Here is a 17,799-nt window from a genome sequence, read left to right on the forward strand (position 1 = left end):
GCCAATGGCAGGTATTGAGGTTGAACAAGCAACATTCACTTTATTTTTTCTTTCTTTCTTTCTTTCTTTTTTTTTTTTTGAGACAGAATCTTGCTCTGTCACCCAGGCTGGAGCGCAATGGCACTATCCTGGCTCACTGCAACCTCTGCCTCACGGGTAAGCGATTCTCCTCCCTCAGCCTCCCGAGTAGCAGGGATTACAGGTGCCTGCCACCATGCCCAGCTAATTTTTGTATTTTTAGTAGAGACGGGGTTTCACCATGTTGGCCAGGCTGGTCATGAACTCCTGACCTCAAGTGATCCACCCAACCTTGGCCTTCCAAAGTGCTGTGATTACAGGCATGAGTCACCCCAACCGGCCACTTCATTTTTTTCCCTAAAGGGCCTGCCCCACCTGACTCTCGAACAAAACAGCCAGGGTGCCCTGCCAGGTGGTTAACAGGGTAAAGGCAGAAGCAGCCAAACACACAGGCTTCCAGGAACAGTGTGGACAGAGCTGCAGCTTCCTCATCTGATAATGGGAGCTATTGCAATCGCTACTGTTTCCCCCTTGCCTTCTAGAAGGCCTGACTCCATTAAGGGTTGATCATGAATAGGGCAGGTGGACTTATAGAGCATGCTGTCAGAGTTGGGGGTTGCTTTCAAATTCAAGCTAGTAAAAATCAACAGAAAAGATGAGTAGCCAGCTGTAGAAGTGACGTACTCCTAAGATGTGTGGTAATGTATTTCTAATGACATTAGAGTTTCTGAAATCCATCTCATCATCATGGCCTAGCACTAGAAAGGGGAAGTGCTGGGAGACCACGTGGACCAGGCGTCACATTTAGAGAGGGTCTGGGACCTAGACTTTTGATACTATCTCCAAATTAAGTTACACATACAACTACAGAGAGAACTAACAGGATTGAAAAAAGATGCTGCTCAGCTGGGCTCAGTGGCTCCTGCCTGTAATCCCAGCACCTTGGGAGGCAGAGGCAGGTGGATCACCTGAGGTCAGGAGTTCAAGATCAGCCTGGCCAACATGGTGAAACCCAGTCTCTACTAAAAATACAAAAATTAGCTGGACATGATGGCAGGTGCCTGTAATCCAAGCTACTCGGGCAGCTGAGGTGGGAGAATCGCTTGAACCCAGGAGGTGGAGGTTGCAGTGAGCCGATATGTCACCATCGCACTCCAACCTGGGCGACAGAGTGAGACTGTCAAGAAAGAAAGAAAGAGAGAGAGGGGGAGGGAGGGAGGGAAAAGGAAAGGAAAGGAAAGGAAGGAAGAAAGACAGAAAGACAGAAAGAAAGGCAGGGAGGGAGGGAAAGAGAGAAAAGAAAGAAGGAAGGAAGGAATAAAGGAAAAAAAGAAAGAAAGATGCTGCTCATCATTCACCTCCAAATTTCACATTTGCATCTCCTAGCTAGAGATGCATCTCATGTTGCCTGCTATGCGCTTTGAAATAATATTTGACATTTTTATAAAACTTTATCTTGTAAGTAGCACAATTGTGTATACTGCCCCTTTTTCTGTTAAAATTGTCAATTTTGGAAATATACACATGTACCATATGCCACAGTTGTAATCTTGTAATTCTTTTTTTTTTTAATGCAGGAATAATCTCAAAAAAATAAAAAGTGGTCAAGGGCTCCCTTGACCTCTGAAAGGTCCAGACGAAGATGAACTAGTCTAATTTATTACAACCTTTCCCATCTAGGTAATGTTAAAATTCAATAAGCTGGGCTGGGCACGGTGGCTCATGCCTATAATCCCAGAACTTTAGGAGGCTGAGGCGGGCAGATCACAAGGTCAGGAGATAAGACCATCCTGGCTAACATAGTGAAACCCTGTCTTTAGTAAAAAATACAAAAAAATTAGCCAGGCATGGTGGCGGGCACCTGTAGTCCCAGCTACTTGGGAGGCTGTGGCAGGAAAATGTCGTGAACCTGGGAGGTGGAGCTTGTAGTGAGCAGAGATCGCACCACTGCACTCCAGCCTGGGTGACAGAGCGAGACTCCGTCTCAAAAAAAAAAAAAAAAATTCAATAAGCTCTGGTATTTTTGCTGTTAAGAATTCCTTTGGGCCACTCAAGGTGGCTCACGCCTGTAATTCTAGCACTTTGAGAGGCCAAGGTGGGAGGATCACTTGAGTCCAGGAGTTCAAGACCAGCCAGGGCAACATGGAGAAACCCTGTCTCTACAAAAAAATAAAAAAATAGCCAGGTGTGGTGGTGCACACCTGTGGTTACAGCTGTTTGGGAGGCTGAGGTGGGAGGATCACCTGAGCCCAGGAGGCAGAGGTTGCAGTGAGCTGAGACTGTACCACGACACTCCAGCCTGGGTGACAGAGTAAGAACTCATCTCAAAACAAAACAAAACAAAAAGAACACCTTCATTTTCTCACATACCCCAAGTATTGTCTATCAAACTTTGTGCATTAAGTAGTAGTTTAGTTTATAATTTTATTCATCAGATGTATGCATAATTTGTCTAGTTTCTGGTAGTCATCACGTAGTTTTCACTCATCCAACAAACATTTATTGAGCAACTACTATATATGCCAATTGGTGATAGAAAGATGAATAAATCAAAATTTACGGTCTGGTTGGGGGACAGACATATGAATAAATAATGAAAGTAAACAATATTAGAGGCACCCAAAGAGAGAATGAGCTCCTGGGGGAATCAGAGAAAACTTTCTGTTGGGGTTGATCTTGAAGTGAGTCATATGAGCGGATATCTGCAAAAAATTACATTTTAGTCTGTTTAAGTATCCTTATTTCAGGTAAATGTGTGAATTCTACTAGACTTTTTGAATTCTTAAAATAATGTACAAGCTCCTGTTTTCTTTCCATGGGAACCCCAGGAAGGCAACTATAGTCTCACGGGAGGTGGTAATGGTAGGTGGGCATGAATTTCAGAAAGTGGGGAGCTGGGCTAAGAGAAATAGTGTATCATGGTCATCCAAGAGGATGGTCGGCTCTGCCAACTTTTATCCACTGCTTGGCAGATGCAAGCAGAACTTTGCGAGTAGAGCCCATTGCCAGAGCCCTGGGAGCCACACATTTCCTCGTTTCTTTTTTAAAAACCTTATAGTAAACAAACAATCAACTAATGTTGATTTGATTTTCCAAGTATGTAGACTTTCCTACTGCTGAAAGTATGAGCTGACCTACTAATTGTATCATTCCAGTTAATTTTGCGTTTTCAATCCTCCCAAAATAATAAATAAGCCTTTTTGTATCAGTGTCCCTTGTTGGTTTGAGTCTCTTAACCAACTTGTCACAATCAATTCATAATAAATTGGCAAAATAGAGTGTGTCGCCCAGGCTGGAGAACAAAGGCGCCATCTTGGCTCACTCCAACCTCCGCCTCCCCAGTTCAAGCAATTCCCCTGCCTCACCCTCCCCAGTAGCAGGCATTACAGGCACCCACCACCACACCTGGCTAATTTTTGTATTTTTAGTAGAGATGGGGTTTCTCCATGTTGGCCAGGCCTTGGTCTTCAACTCCTGACCTCAGCTAATCCACCCATCTTGGCCTCCCAAAGTGCTGGGATTACAGGCATGAGCCACTGTGCCTGGCAGAGTGTGTTTCTTTCAAATTGAAGACTATGGTATAGATCTGGACTGAAACAACCTGTCTTCTTCACTGCTCTTAACTGCCAAGTCTCTCCTTAAGTCTGGGCTTTCTTGTATTCATCCGATCCAACATATGTACCATTCGTATTCTGATGACTCTCAAATTTATTTATTTTTAACTTTTTTTTTTTTTTTTTTTGAGACGGAGTCTCGCTCTGTTGCCCAGGCTGGAGTGCAGTGGCGCAATCTCGGCTCACTGCAAGCTCCACCTCCTGGGTTCACGCCATTCTCCTGCCTCAGCCTCCTGAGTAGCTGGGACTACAGGTGCCTGCTACCACGCCTGGCTAATTTTTTGTATTTTTAGTAGAGACGGGGTTTCACCGTGTTAGCCAGGATGGTCTTGGTCTCCTGACCTCGTGATCCGCCTGCCTCGGCCTCCCAAAGTGCTGGGATTACAGGCATGAGTCACCGCGCCCGGCCTTTTTTTTTTTTTTTTTTTTTTTTGAGACATGGTTTCACTCCAGTAGTCCAGGCTGGAATGCAGTGAAGCAATCTCACTCACTGCATCCTCGACCTCCTGGACTCAAGTGATCCTCCCACCTCAGACTCCCAAGTAGCTGAGACTACAGGCTCCTGCCACCATGGCTGGCTAATTTTTTTTTTTTTTTTTTTAGAGAGAGGGTTTCACCATATTGCTCAGGCTGGTCTTGAACTCCTGGGTTCAAGCGATCTGCCTGCCTCGGCTTCCCAAAGTGTTGGAATTACAGGCATAAGCCACGATGCCCGGCCTGACTCTCAAATTTATATCACTAGCTGAAGCTCTCCTCCCAACTCCAGACTTAAAAAAATTGAGAGTAGAATTACCATACGATTGGGCAATCCCACTTCAGGGTAGATACACAAAATAATTGAAAGCAGGATCAATCCCAAATGTCCGTCAACGACAAATAGATAAAGAAAATGTGGTATACAAATACAATGGGGCCAGGCGCAGTGGCTCATGCCTGTAATTCCGGCACTTTGGGAGGCTGAAGTGGGTGGATAACTTGAGGTCAGGAGTTCGAGACCAGCCTGACCAACATGGTGAAACTCCATCTCTACTAAAAATAAAATTAAAAAAAAAAATTAGCCAGGCATGGTGGCGCATGCCTGTAATCCCAGCTATTTGGGAGGCTGAGGCAGGAGAATCTCTTGAACCCAGGAGGCGGAGGTTGCAGTGAGCCAAGATCATGCCATTGCACTCAAGCCTGGGAAACAAGAGCAAAAACTCCGTCTCAAAATAAACATACATACATACAATGGAATATTAGCCCTAAAAAAAAGGGAACTCTGACACATGCTACAACATGGATGAATCTGGAGGACACTGTGCTAAGTGAAATAAGCCAGTCACAAAAAGACAAAATCCGACTATTTATATGAGGCAGACTACTTGAACTCCCATTAGCAGAACGTAGAATGGTAGAATGGTTGTTACTGGGGGTAGAGAGAAGAGAAATGAAATTTTTTTTTAATGGGCATAGAATGTCAATTTTTTTTTTTTTTTTTTTTTTTTAGAGATTGGGTTCCCCCATGTTTCCCAGGCTTGGTCTCAAACTCCTGGGCTCGAGCAATCCACTTGCCTCAGCCTCCCAAATAACTGGAATTACAGGCATTAGATACCATCCCCAGCCTTGATGGAAATTTCTGAAGATTCATAATAATGAAAATATATTTAACACCACTGAACTGTACACTTAGAAATGATTAAGATGGGCCAGGCCCAGTGGGTCATGTCAGTAATCCCAGCACTTTGGGAGGCCAAGGTGGGTAGATCACCTAAGGTCAGGAGTTCAAGAGCAGCCTGGTCAATATGGTGAAAACCCATCTCTACTAAAAATGCAAAAATTATCTGGGCATGATGGCGCGCACCTGTAGTCCCAGCTACCTGGGAGGCTGAGGCAGAAGAATCACTTGAACTGGGAGGCAGTGGTTGCAGTGAGGCGAGATCTCACCACTGCAGTCCAACCTGGGCCACAGAGTGAGACTCCGTCCCCTCTCCCCTCCACCAAAAAAATTAGCCAGATGTGGTGGTGCATGCCTGTAATCCTGGCTACTCGGGAGACTGAGGTGAGAGGATCGCTTGGACCTGGAGGCGGAGGTTGCAGTGAGCTGAGATTGTGCCACTGTACTCCAGCCTGGGCAAGAGAGTGAGACTCCATCTCAAAAAAAAAAAAAAAAGAACTGATTAAGATGGTATAATAAATTTTAGGTTCTACGTATTCTACCACAATTGAAAACATTTTTTAAAAATAATATTTATTTTACTTTCTTTGGCTTTTTATTTTGGTGCTTGGAAATGAGCATTGATGTTGCTGGTTGTGCAGTCGACAGTTAGGGATTCACCTCTTAATGAATGGCAAACTCTTTGTAGATGTTAAAGTTGACTTTGGAAGGAAGATAAGTTGTACGGCACAGGCATGGTACTCTCCTGGGGAAAGGGGTTCTTCCCAGGCTCACAGCACTGTGCACCATGTACAGAGCACACATTTTGGGGAAATGCCCTCATACTATGAATGAATTCAAAGTTAGTATGGGGTAGGATCTAAATCTTGTGATCTCTTTCTTCTAAAGGACTACCCTTCATCAGGTTTTAAAAATTACTCCTATAATTTCTGCAGTATGAGTTTTTTCATTCTAGAATGTGAAAATACTGCCAACAATAATCTAAAGACAGCCCATATTCACAGCGACAAGAAGTTCAGTGTTGGCTATAGCTCGGTCATGCTATGGGCAGGAGGCCTTCTCTAAAGATAAGTCTGCTTTGTGTCAAGCATTTCAAGCATGACTTGCTTGTTTCATCTGCCCATTTACATTCCTTGTACCTAGAAATGAATGTGATAAAAGTTTTGGTGCCTACAGGAACTATATTTACCTAGTTCATGTTGGCTTCCCACTCAGAGGGAAGTTTGATTGCCTTCCTGCACTTGAGAAGTTTAGAGAATGTGCCAGTGAATGTGCACACTCACAAGGTGTGTGTGTGTATCAGTGTTAATACCCAACAATTGAGCCTACTATTTGCTTGGGCAAAGAACACCATTTTCTCTTGAGCCTCTAATATGTGTGAAATATTTTAAGATTTCAATATTATGTACAAAGAACTAGTAGATGGTAAGAATTGTGAGAAAATATAACCATGAGAACACAAAGAGAGTACAGCAGATGAGTGGGCTACTTCCAAGACTGGTTCTGGGGGCAGAAAAGGAGACCAGACGAAGGACTCCAAAGAGCAGTTGAGATCCTGGTGGCCACTTTAAATCCCTATCCCTAGCACTGTGGAGAACACAACACAAAAATGTATGATGTCTGGTTTCTTCTTCTTTTTTTTTTTTTTTTCTGAGATGGAGTCTCCCTCTGTCGCCCAGGCTGGAGTGTAGTGGTGCGATCTCAACTCACTGCAACCTCCGCCTCCTGGGTTCAAGCAAGTCTCCTGCCTCAGCCTCCCGAATAGCTGGGATTACAGGTGCGCACCACCACGCCCGGCTAATTTTTGTATTTTTAGTAGAGACGGAGAGACGGGGTTTCACCATGTTGGTCAGGCTGGTCTCGAATGCCTGACCTCGTGATTCCCCCGCCTCAGCCTCCCAAAGTGCTGGGATTACAGGGGTGAGCCACCGCGCCCGGTGGTTTCTTCTCTTATGGAATTTAATGTCGTTGACGATTAGACGTGGCCATGCATTACTCAATCTTGAATTGGGATCCCCAAAAAAGCTGGGCGAGTAACAAGGGCTCAATGAATGGATAAGTGATTGAGTTAATAAATACGTGATCAGTTCCAAATGGGTAACATTTAGTTATATTTGGTGGAGATAAGTAGTCCAGTGTTTTGGAGCTAAGTGGTTATTCTTTTTTTTTTTTTTTTTTTTGAGTTTGGGTCTCGCTCTGTCACACAGGCTGGAGTATAGTGCCACAATCTCAGTTCACTGCAACATCTGCCTCCTGGGTTCATGCAATTCTCCTGTCTCAGCCTCCCGAGTAGCTGGGATTACAGGTGCGTGCCATCACCCCCGGCTAAATTTTGTATTTTTAGTAGAGACGGGGTTTCACCATGTTGGCCAGGCTGGTCTCAAACTCCTGGCCTTAAGTGATCTGTCCGCCTCTGCCTCCCAAAGTGCTGGGATTACAGGCGTGAGCTACCCGCGCCCCGCTCCCCCCACCATTTTTTTTTAATTTTCAAAATTTTTGTAGAAGTGGGGGTCTCGTTACGTTGCCCCGGCTAGTCTCAAACTCCTGGCCTCAAGCGATCCTCCTGCTTTGGCCTCCCAAAACGCTGGGATTACTGGCGTGAACTACCATACTCTGCCCTTTATTCTTACAGAGATTTTGAGGTCTAAGAATGTGGACTTTAAAGATTTCATTATCAGATTATGCATTTAGCACGGAATGACAATCTGACAGCCGTGTACAGCGTAAACCGGCGGAGAGGGCTTGGCACTAAAGGCAAACTGTCTTTTAAGAACAGGAAAAAGAAAGGTAATATATATTTTAAGGAGGTCCCATTTTAGGGGAGATAATAAGCTTGGGTTAGGCGTCCGAAGTCAGAAGATATAGTAAGAAACACACACGCAAACTCCAGCAGCCACCAGCTAGACTTGAGTAGAGAGAGCAGGTCCAAGTGGAGGTGGAAGTTGGAAAGTTGCATCTGCCAGGCAGGGCGAAAGTGGCCTACACCCACTCCTGGAGCACCCTGCTTGACGAGCAAGGTAGACGAGGCTGAGGGATACTGCTGGTGATGACGGTGGTCGTGGTGATGGTGCTGGTAGCTAACAGATCTTGAGCGTACCAGGCCCTGAGCTGAGTCCTCTAACGGGCAGAATGTCGCTGCATACGGACAGCAGCCTCAAGAGGACAAGGTGATTTAGTGACTCTAGCCTCTTCCCGCGGTGCCAGCCTGATTTCACCCTCTCCGGAACACACAAGCGAACCTCCGGGGAGGGAGCCAGTATCGGGTCCTAACGCAGGGAAGCGCTCCGCTTTCTGAGAGGGACGCGCCAGCGGAGGGACAGCCAGGGCCCGGCCTCTCCTGCTCCTGCCCCGCCCCGCCCCCGGCAGTGCCCCCTAGTCCGCCAGAGGGCGACTCCGCGGGTCGCCCAACCCGCGACCGGTCCACGCGGCACCCGCCTCTCCCTAGGCCCCCGCCCTGCCGGCCCGCGCGCGCCCGACGGGAGCGTGCGGGGCGGTGGGCGCAGGGTCACGTTGGGCGGCGCAGACAAAGGCGGGCGCGCGCACGTCCTGACGCAGCTTGGGCCCGCGGCGGCGGCAAGGGCGGGAGGGAGCGGTCGCCGCGGGATTTGGAGCTGCCTAGCCTCGCGGTCGGTGAGTAGGAGGGAGCTGGCCCCTTACCTCAAAGTCTCCGACCTCCGGGGAGCCGAGAGCGGGACGTGGGAGCCGGGCTTGGGCGGCCGCGCGGGGCCTGCGGTCTGGGACGCCCCGGCGACGCTGCGCCGGCGTCAGGAGGCACCATCGCCGCGCCCCGGGGATCCCCGGCGGGTGGAGCGGGTGCCCCCCGTCCGGGATGGAACGGTCCGCGCCCGCCCCGAACCCCGGCCGCCCGCCTCTCCGCTCGCCTGCTCTCCGAGCCCGGCTCCTCGGAGCCCCTCGCCTCCCCCAAGTCCCAGGTGTGCGCAGCCCTCCCGCCCCGGGAGTCCGGGGATGTGGGTGGCGAGGGCTGCTGGGCGTTGGAGCACCAGGAAGCGCCTTCCCCTGTCATTCCCCTTCCTGTGTTCTCTGGCTGCCGTAAGATGCATGTCTTTACCCTCTCCTTCTCCAAATGCATGCTCCCATTTTTCTTTAGGATTTCTTAACTCCTGAAATCCCTTGCCTTTCCTTTTTTATTTCAGCACCCTCTGAGGCATCCTTCTCCCAGTGGGGCTTGTTTATTTCCTCGCTTTCCATGTCACAGAGGGCTGAAGTTTAGCTGTTCAGAAGTTGCAGAAAATAGCTTATAGGAGACATACGGTGTAGCACGATGGAAATAAGTTCCATCCTCTGCCAAGTATTACCATGGATCTTCTCATGGATAACCTTGAGGTCATTTGAGGAATTTTGTTTTTGGTTCATTTTCCTTAATTTTGGCTGAACTTTGAGGAGCTCTCCTTAGTTTCATGTCTTGTAGATTCTATCTCAATCCAAGGGAAATGGTGTGAAGAGCAGTTATACCATACCAAAGTCTCCAGACAAAATCCTGTAATAATGCCAATCAAATATACTTCTCTCTTTGAAAGAGATGTGCTTTTCTTTTCTTTTTTAACTTTGTATTTTGGAGAATTTCAGACACAGGGAAATAGATGGAATAGGGAACCAGCATGTACTTGTTCTGGCCTCCTCAGCCACTTAACTGTGGCTATTCCTGTGCCATACACACCCCACCCATTTCCCCTCCCGTATGTCTCAGGGAGAACTTGATGCAAGATGAGTCTGTCAAAAGTAGCTTCAGTTCCATAATGAAAACCACCATACCAAGTCATAAGGTGCTTTTTGTTTTGGAACACAGCCTACTCATGAGGTCTTCAGCTAAGAAACACAGTAGAGTTGAAGAAAGAGCACAGCAAAAGGTATCTTAACATGATAGAACAGGTTAAAAGAAAAAGTATGGCCGGGCGTGGTGACTCACGCCGGTAATCCCAGCACTTTGGGAGGCCGAGGCGGGCGGATCACCTAAAGTCAGGAGTTCAAGACCAGCCTGGCCAACATGGTGAAACCCTGCATATACTAAAAATACAAAAATTAGCCGGACGTGGTGGCAAGTACTTGTATTCCCAGCTACTCGGGAGGCTGAGGCCGGAGAATCGCTTGAACCCAGGAGGCAGAGGTTGCAGTGAGCCAAGATTGCGCCGCTGCACTCCAGCCTGGGCGACAGAGCGAGACTCGTGTCAAAAAAAAAAAGAAAAGAAAAAAAGTGTTTCAGATCTGGATGAGAACATTCGGAACGTCCTGTTCAATGTTTTCATTTTTTTCTGAGCCCTTGGAGGTCCAGAGAAGTTCAGTGACTTGTCCAGAGCTGCAGGTCTTAAGAGGCTGAAATCTCGCCTCTGCCTCGAGGCTGCGGTTCCACTGACCCATACTACTTGCCTTCAGGAAAGAGAAATGGTGTAGGAAGGCTGTGGATGAAGACGCTTACATTCATGAAGGATTTGGATAGGCGAACATGAGCTTTTCCACCAAATTTCAGAATTTTAAGAAATGCCTTAAATTATTTCTTAAAAATCAATTTGGGGCAGACGAGAAGTTCTGATAATAGTTTTTAGGGAACATGATAAAATTCTGACCTTAGAAGTGGTATACCAGTTTGAGAAGAAGAACAAGCTATAAACGGTGTAGATAACATTCACGGCTATTTAAGAAAGAGTTACTAAGGGAAACCAGAATGACTTAAGAGTGTTACTCTTCTTTTTCTGAGAGAACAATAGCATCATCTCAGAAAGCCTTTCATGCCATTAATAGGTAAGAATCTGGGCTTCTTGGACCATGGGTTAGACTTTCTTACAAAACCATAATATGCATTTCCTAGCAAAATTTATGCTATTACATTTCCTTATCTCAACAAAGACTGGTAAATTCAGTACTTATTCCTCAATTTTCCTACCCTTAAAATGGGGATATTCTGCCTCTCCAAGGAATGCTGGGAACAAGCAAGTCCTCATGTTAGGGGTCTTTGAGTTTTCATGGAAGTTTAGGTTATTTATATGATGACATAGTTGTCAACTTACTTTCAGGATGGACTTTTCTTTTGTGAGTTTGTGACCTAAATACAATAGTTGTTATGCATGTCCAGTTTATGGAAGTACCACTGCAATAACAGCATTTGAGTGTCATGGTAAATCATTACCCCTAAAGATAGAGGAGGGAGGAGGAGGCAACTGTTGTGTGTCTATTTTGTGTTTGGTGTGAGGAGTGTTGTGGCTAGGCTCTTCAGAGGCTAGCCTAACTTGCTAAGTGGTTTCTGCTAAAGAAAAACCCACTTTTCTTGTGTGTGCTTGTCACCACAAGTTAGCTTTTATTAAAAACAAAACAAAACTCTCTAAGCTATCTGGAGATGATTTGGCCCTGGTTAAACATGAACTGTACTGCAGAATTGTTTGTTTGGGTAAAGTAGAACCTCATTATGACGTGTCTTTTACTTCCTACTGTGTCATTGTGCTCATGGAGAGAACTTGACGGAATATCATCCGTTCCATGTATCACTAAACCATGTAATAGCGTACACTATGATTAAGGCTTTTTAAGAGAATAGAATTTTAGAGTTAGAAGGAGTCTTCCAAGTGCTTAGAGTTTCCCCTGAGTCCTTTAATGTACTTTTTCACCTTTAAAACACATGCAGACACGTACACATGCCACACAAACACAGAGTCTCATCTAGGGCTCTCTTCATTTTGCCTTGTACAATCTTAGTATGTTTGGATCCCACCTCCAGTTAATTTGTAAACCGAAGATCTGCAATAATAGAAAAATGCTTTGTAAAACAGGAGCGTAATACATTTGCACTTGACTTTTATTTATTTATTTTATAGAGATGGTCTTGATCTGTGGCTCAGGCTGGAGTGCAGTGGCATGATCAAGGCTCACTGCACCCTCAGCCTCCCTGGCTCAAACGGTCCTCCCGCCTCAGCCTCCCAAAGGGTCGGAATTACAGACATGAGCCACCATGCCAGGCCTTTGTTGACTTTTTTTTTTTTTTTTTTTTTGAGACAGAGTCTTGCTCTGTCGCCCAGGCTGGAGTGCAGTGGCGCAATCTCGGCTCACTGCAAGCTCCGCCTCCCGGGTTCACACCATTCTCCTGCCTTAGCCTCCTCAGTAGCTGGGATTACAGGCGCCTGCCACCACGCCCGGCTAATTTTTTTTTTGTATTTTTTAGTAGAGACAGGGTTTCACCGTGTTAGCCAGGATGGTCTCGATCTCCTGACCTCGTGATCCCCCCGCCTCGGCCTCCCAAAGTGCTGGGATTACAGGCGTGAGCCATCGCACCCGGCCGACTTGTTTGAATTAAAAAAAAAAAATGATCAGGAAGCTTAAATCAAGGGAAGTTCAATGATTTTTTTTTTTTTTTTTTTTTTTTTTTTTTTTGGAGACTGAGTCTTCCTCTGTCGCCCAGGCCTGAGTGCGGTGGCGAGATCTCGGCTCTCTGCAACCCTCCACCTCCTGAGCTCAAATGATTTCCCTATCTCCCAAGTAGCTGGGATTACAGGCATGCGCCACCACGCCCAGTTAATTTTTGTATTTTTAGTAGAGATGGGATTTCACCATGTTGGCCAGGCTGGTCTCGAACTCCTGACCTCAGGTGATCCACCCACCTCAGCCTCCCAAAGTGCTGGGATTACAGGCGTGAGACACTGCACGTGGCCGAAGCTGAATGATGTATTCAGGGACACATAGACTAGACAGTAAGAGTTGCACCTAGAACCTAAAGGCAGTCCTGGTTCCAGATCTAAGCCCTTTCTGCTGTACCATTTTCTTCACCTTGGAGAAATAGGGTGGGAAAGTATACACACACACACACACACACACACACACACACATCTTTCTTTCTTTCTTTGCCAGTTGAAGATACATTATTTTGAGTCTCCTTTAAAAATTTTTGATCAGTGCTGTCCCATAGAAATATTATATATGCTATATACACAATTTTAAATTTTATAATAATGCTTTTTTAAAAAGCACAAAGAAATAGATAAGGTTGATTTAATCATTCCACAAGGGGAGGGAGAGAGAGAGAGTGTGTGTGTGTGTGTGTGTGGGTGTATCTCAAAACATCACATTGTGCTCCATACATATGTAAAATTATGTATCAATTTTTAAGAAATTGACAAACAGTAATTTTACGTATTTATAGTGTACAGTAATATTTGCCCACATGGATAGAATGTGTAATGATAAAATCAGAGTATTTAGGATATCCAGCACCTGAAACATACATCATTTCTTTGTGTTGGGAACATTTCAAATCTACTTAACATTTCAAATTAAAATATACAAGAAATTGGCCTGACGTGGTGGCTCATGCCTGTAACCCTAGCACTTTGGGAGGCCAAAGTGGGTAGATCACTTGAGGTCAGGAGTTTGAAATCAGCCTGGCCAACATGATGAAACCCCTTCTCCACTAAAAATACAAAAAAAACTAGCCGGCTGTGGTGGCCTGTGCCTGTAATCCCAGGTATGAGGGAGGCTGAGGCACGAGAATTGCTTGAACCTGGAGGCAAAGGATGCAGTGAGCAGAGATCGCACCACTGCACTCCAGCCTGGGCCACAAAATGAGACTGTCTCAAAAAAAAAATAATATATATATATGTACAAGAAATTGGTAACTATAGTCATCCTACTTTGCTATTGAATACTGGAACTCATTCGTTCCATTTAAGTTTTTTTTTTCTATCCATTAACCAAGCTCTCAACGTCCACCCTTCCCAGCTGCTGGTATCTATTATATTCTACTGTCTATGAGATCATTTTTAGCTCCTATATATTGACTTTGATTTGAAAGTCAATTTAAATTTTTTTAAAAAAATTGTATAAAGTAGAAACAGGTGAAAATAATTTTAACAATATATTTTATTTAACCTAGTTTATCCAGAATATTACTTTGAAACATAATCAATATAAAAATTATTAATGGGATATTTTACATGCATTTTTTTCATGCTAAGTCATTGAACTCCAGTGTGCATTTTACATTCACAACACATTTTAAGTGCTCCAAGGTCACACGTGGTTAGTGGCTGCTCTGTTGGACTGCAGAGAATCACTGTCAGTGGAACATAAAGATGAAGGAATGTTTTATTTTGCTTAGTAATGTTCAGGTCTGAGGTTAGAGTTTGTGGTTGTGGTCATTGGTTTTTTCTTTCATGTTTTAGTGATTTTCTTTGCACAATTAGAAGTATTTTGAATTTGCAGAGAGATGAACAAAAAAGTCTGCTGTCACGAATTTGTGCGCTTGTGATGAAAAGGTTTCATTTTTTAAGACAGGGTCTTGCTCTGTTGCTCAGGCTGGAGTGCAGTGGCACTGTCATGGCTCACTGCAGCCTCAGCCGACTGGACTCAGGTGATCCTCCCACCTAAGCCTCCCAAATAGCTGGGATTACAGGAATGCACCACCACGCCCAGCTAATTTGTGTATTTTTAGTAGAAATGGGGTCTCTCCTTGTTGTCCAGGCTGTTGTTGAACTCCTGTCCTCAAGTGATCCGCCCACCTCGGCCTCCCAGAATGCTGAAATTACAGGTGTGAGCCACTGCGCCTGGCCAGTGATGTGTGTAAATTTAAAAGACTGTATTGGTGAAGATGTGGAACAAGTGAGACTTCCCTACGCTGCTAGTGGGAATACAAAATGGTACAACCCATTTTGGAATTTGTCATTCCACTCCTAGGTATTTACCCAAGAGAAATGAAGTATATGTCCATACAAAGACTTGTAGATAGCAGTTTTATTTGTAATAGCCTCAAACTGGAACAACCTTAGTGTCCATCAGTAGGGGAATGGATGAAGAAACGGGTATATCCATATACTGGAATACAGCTCAGCAATCAAGAGGAATAAACTGTTGACACATGCAGCAACATGGATGGTTCTCAGTATAATTATGCTGAGTGAAGTAAATTGGATAAAAAGATTTTTTGAACAAGAAAAAGGCCAGGAAGTTGCTTCTAATTACATATGCAGTACTCAGATTTCAAGAACTGGTATTGAAATTGAGCCATCAGAGCAGTGTTCAGGTCGAATAATGAATTGTCTTGGGTCTTAAAGCTCCAGCAAATCAAATTGTCATCATCAAAATAGCCTCTTTTTTTTGGTTTTGTTTTCTGTTTTTTGTTTTGCCAGCTTCAAGAGATGGTTCCGTTGCTTTGGGGTGAACTTGGTACCAGTGCCGTGTTACTTATCCAGTTCTAACTCAAGAAAGTTCTGGAGGGCATAATGATCTTAGATAAGACCAAGGCCCCGAACCTGACCATGTTCTGTCTTCTCTGTGAGTTGAATCATCCTTTGGCCAGTTGGATCCTGGCTTTGTCTTGGGTAATTTATTTTATCCAGGATTGATGCCAGCTATGTGTGTTCTGGGTTTTTAGCACTTCAGGTTCATGTCAACTGAGTCGCTCTGAGAGCTGCCCTGTTTGGAAACATGCAGTTTCCCCACTAAGCAACAGCTTCCTATTCAAGCAAATTTCTTACACTCTACCAGTCCCGATACACTCGACGTTAAATTCAGCGTAGCACACATTTCCTCATGCCTGTGTGTGCGTGTTTGTTTACATTACAGTTGGGGCATTTGGTGGGCCTATGTATGTTCTGACAGTAAACTAGGAGAAATGGATGCTTTTTTCTGAATTGTAATCCACCCTAAAGCAAGTGAGGAGTCAGCCTGGGAAGCAAGAAGTGCACTCGACTGGACATCAGATGGGCGTGTTAGTCCTGCCTCTGTTACCAGCCATTCCGTAACTTGTCCCCATCATCAAACCCTTCCGAGGCTCGGTTATTTGAGCCATAAAATGAAGACATTGGGCTAGAATTCTGAAAGATTAACTACTAAAGTTGTGGTTTGTCATCATTTTATTATTATTGCCTCCAGCTTTATGGTGATGATTAGTAGTAGAAGCTTCTATTTATAGAGGATTTTGTGCCAAGCACTACACTGATAGCTTGATAGGCATCATGTTCAGTCTTGACAACAATACCACAGGATATGTATTATTCCCAATTTACAGATGAGAAAACTGAAGCATGGAATGTGACTTTTTTGAGGTCAGACAGCCAGAAGGTAGGGGAGGCTGGTTTTGAATGTAGCTTGTCTGATTCCCTGTATGTTTGGCCATCATGCTTTACTGCTTCCCTGACATTCTGCAATTTTAAATAAAGACGTAAGGACAAAAAACTTGTTTCAGGAAGGATTTTTAAAAGACATCCAGTCTAATCACCATAATGTATCTGCCACTCTGCAGAATGCAGTTGTAGGTGAAGGTCTCCCTATGCAGCCTATTCTTTTTGAACAACTTAATCTTAGATTCTTTTAAAAATAGCTTTATTGAGATACAATTCACCTAATGAAAGTATGTTCACAGATGTGTATAGTCATCAACAGAGTCAGTTTTAGAACATTTTTGTCACCTCAGAAAGAAACGTTTTAGCTATCACTCTTGTATCTCCCCACTCTCGCCAGCTCTAAAGTAACCAACAATCTACTTTCTGTCTGTGTAGATTTGCCTATTTTGTATAAGTGGAATCAATATGTGGTCTTTTCAATGGGTTTCATTCACTTAGTATGATGTTTTGAAGATTCATCCATGTTATAGCGTGTATCATTTCTTCATTTTTATGGCCAAAGGTTCCATTGTATGGATACACCACATTTTGTTTATCCAGTCATCAGTTGATGGACATTTTGGTTGTTTCCGTCTTTTGGCTGTTCTGAATAATGCCATTGTAAGCATTCATGTGCAATTTTTTTGGTGTAGACAGTTTGTCTTTCTCTTGGGTATGTACTTAGGAGTAGAATTGCGAGGTACATGGTAACTTTGTTTAACCATTCTCCGAGCTGCACTGTCTTACATTCCCACCACCAAAGTGTGAGGGTTGGATTCTTAGTATTGAGCTAGAATTTGCACCCCATACCTGCCAACCATAGCACCAGTTCCCTTGCTTCATGTGTCCCAAGCAAATCCGCTTTTTCTAGGTGACAGCCAGCCCGGTCTGACCTGAGTGCTCTCCAGTACTGAAGGGCTTCCACCAGCTTTCATGCCCTGGGATGTCGTTCTAGAGCCTCACCACCTCTCTTATGAATGTGATCCCCCTCCTTTTTTTAGAGAACTAGATGCCTTTTACGTATGGATAATTTGTGCTCAGAGATGGTTGTCTTCTCAGTTTCAGTTGTCCTTTCTCAGTTAACTGGTAAGAACCCTTAACCCAGTAGTCTCAACTGGCTCCACATCAGAATCGCTCGAGTGTGTTAAGAACAAATCCAGATTGTACCTGCAGAGATTCTAATTTATTTCATCTGGGCTGAGGCCCAGAGATGCAAATAAGCATCCTGGGTGGAGAACCAGTGCAGCCTTTAGTGGCCAGGGGATGGTTCTGGCTGGGTCTCTGAGGGCCCACGTGGCTCATGCCCCTGCCATCTGTGCATGGATACCAACTGTCCTGATTCAGAATTACTGTGAGAGTCTCAGTTTTTACTAATGCATTTACACAGAGTGCCATTTTGAAGCCTTAAGCATTT

General features: G+C 44.7%; 1 protein-coding gene and 1 long non-coding RNA gene across 7 annotated transcripts in view, besides 5 other annotated features; one reads left to right on the forward strand and one right to left on the reverse strand.

Moving 5' to 3' along the window:
• Positions 1–9,006, reverse strand: part of GPAT4-AS1 (GPAT4 and GINS4 antisense RNA 1) — a 44,064-nt gene extending 35,058 nt beyond the window's left edge. Inside the window, exon 1 of the long non-coding RNA NR_125824.1 lies at positions 8,944–9,006. This is a non-coding gene — a long non-coding RNA (GPAT4 and GINS4 antisense RNA 1). The remainder of the gene's footprint in view (positions 1–8,943) is intronic.
• Positions 3,808–4,014: a silencer, noted in NCBI's record as "fragment chr8:41430689-41430895 (GRCh37/hg19 assembly coordinates)". NCBI's record gives its function as "represses an EF-1alpha promoter that drives an FKBP-Casp9 reporter gene in an ReSE screen in HepG2 liver carcinoma cells {active_cell/tissue: HepG2}" and the evidence as "EXISTENCE:reporter gene assay evidence [ECO:0000049][PMID:32094911]".
• Positions 8,565–9,184: a silencer, noted in NCBI's record as "silent region_19144". NCBI's record gives its function as "represses an Ori minimal core promoter by ATAC-STARR-seq in GM12878 lymphoblastoid cells {active_cell/tissue: GM12878}" and the evidence as "EXISTENCE:reporter gene assay evidence [ECO:0000049][PMID:35858748]".
• Positions 8,838–17,799, forward strand: part of GPAT4 (glycerol-3-phosphate acyltransferase 4) — a 46,802-nt gene continuing 37,840 nt past the window's right edge. For 3 of the 6 annotated variants that reach the window (XM_047421370.1, NM_001363198.2, NM_178819.4), the window contains exon 1: positions 8,838–8,916. The gene's annotated coding sequence lies outside the window, so the exon portion shown is untranslated. Of the gene's footprint in view, positions 8,917–9,153; positions 9,219–15,415; positions 15,556–17,799 lie in introns of those variants that run through there. The other 3 variants (XM_047421372.1, NM_001363197.2, XM_047421371.1) reach the window with 2 other exon arrangements.
• Positions 9,205–9,344: a silencer, noted in NCBI's record as "silent region_19145". NCBI's record gives its function as "represses an Ori minimal core promoter by ATAC-STARR-seq in GM12878 lymphoblastoid cells {active_cell/tissue: GM12878}" and the evidence as "EXISTENCE:reporter gene assay evidence [ECO:0000049][PMID:35858748]".
• Positions 17,450–17,589: an enhancer, noted in NCBI's record as "active region_27288". NCBI's record gives its function as "activates an Ori minimal core promoter by ATAC-STARR-seq in GM12878 lymphoblastoid cells {active_cell/tissue: GM12878}" and the evidence as "EXISTENCE:reporter gene assay evidence [ECO:0000049][PMID:35858748]".
• Positions 17,700–17,799: an enhancer, noted in NCBI's record as "active region_27289". NCBI's record gives its function as "activates an Ori minimal core promoter by ATAC-STARR-seq in GM12878 lymphoblastoid cells {active_cell/tissue: GM12878}" and the evidence as "EXISTENCE:reporter gene assay evidence [ECO:0000049][PMID:35858748]".

Source organism: Homo sapiens, chromosome 8 (genome assembly GCF_000001405.40).
Source record: "Homo sapiens chromosome 8, GRCh38.p14 Primary Assembly".
NCBI lineage: Eukaryota > Metazoa > Chordata > Mammalia > Primates > Hominidae > Homo > Homo sapiens.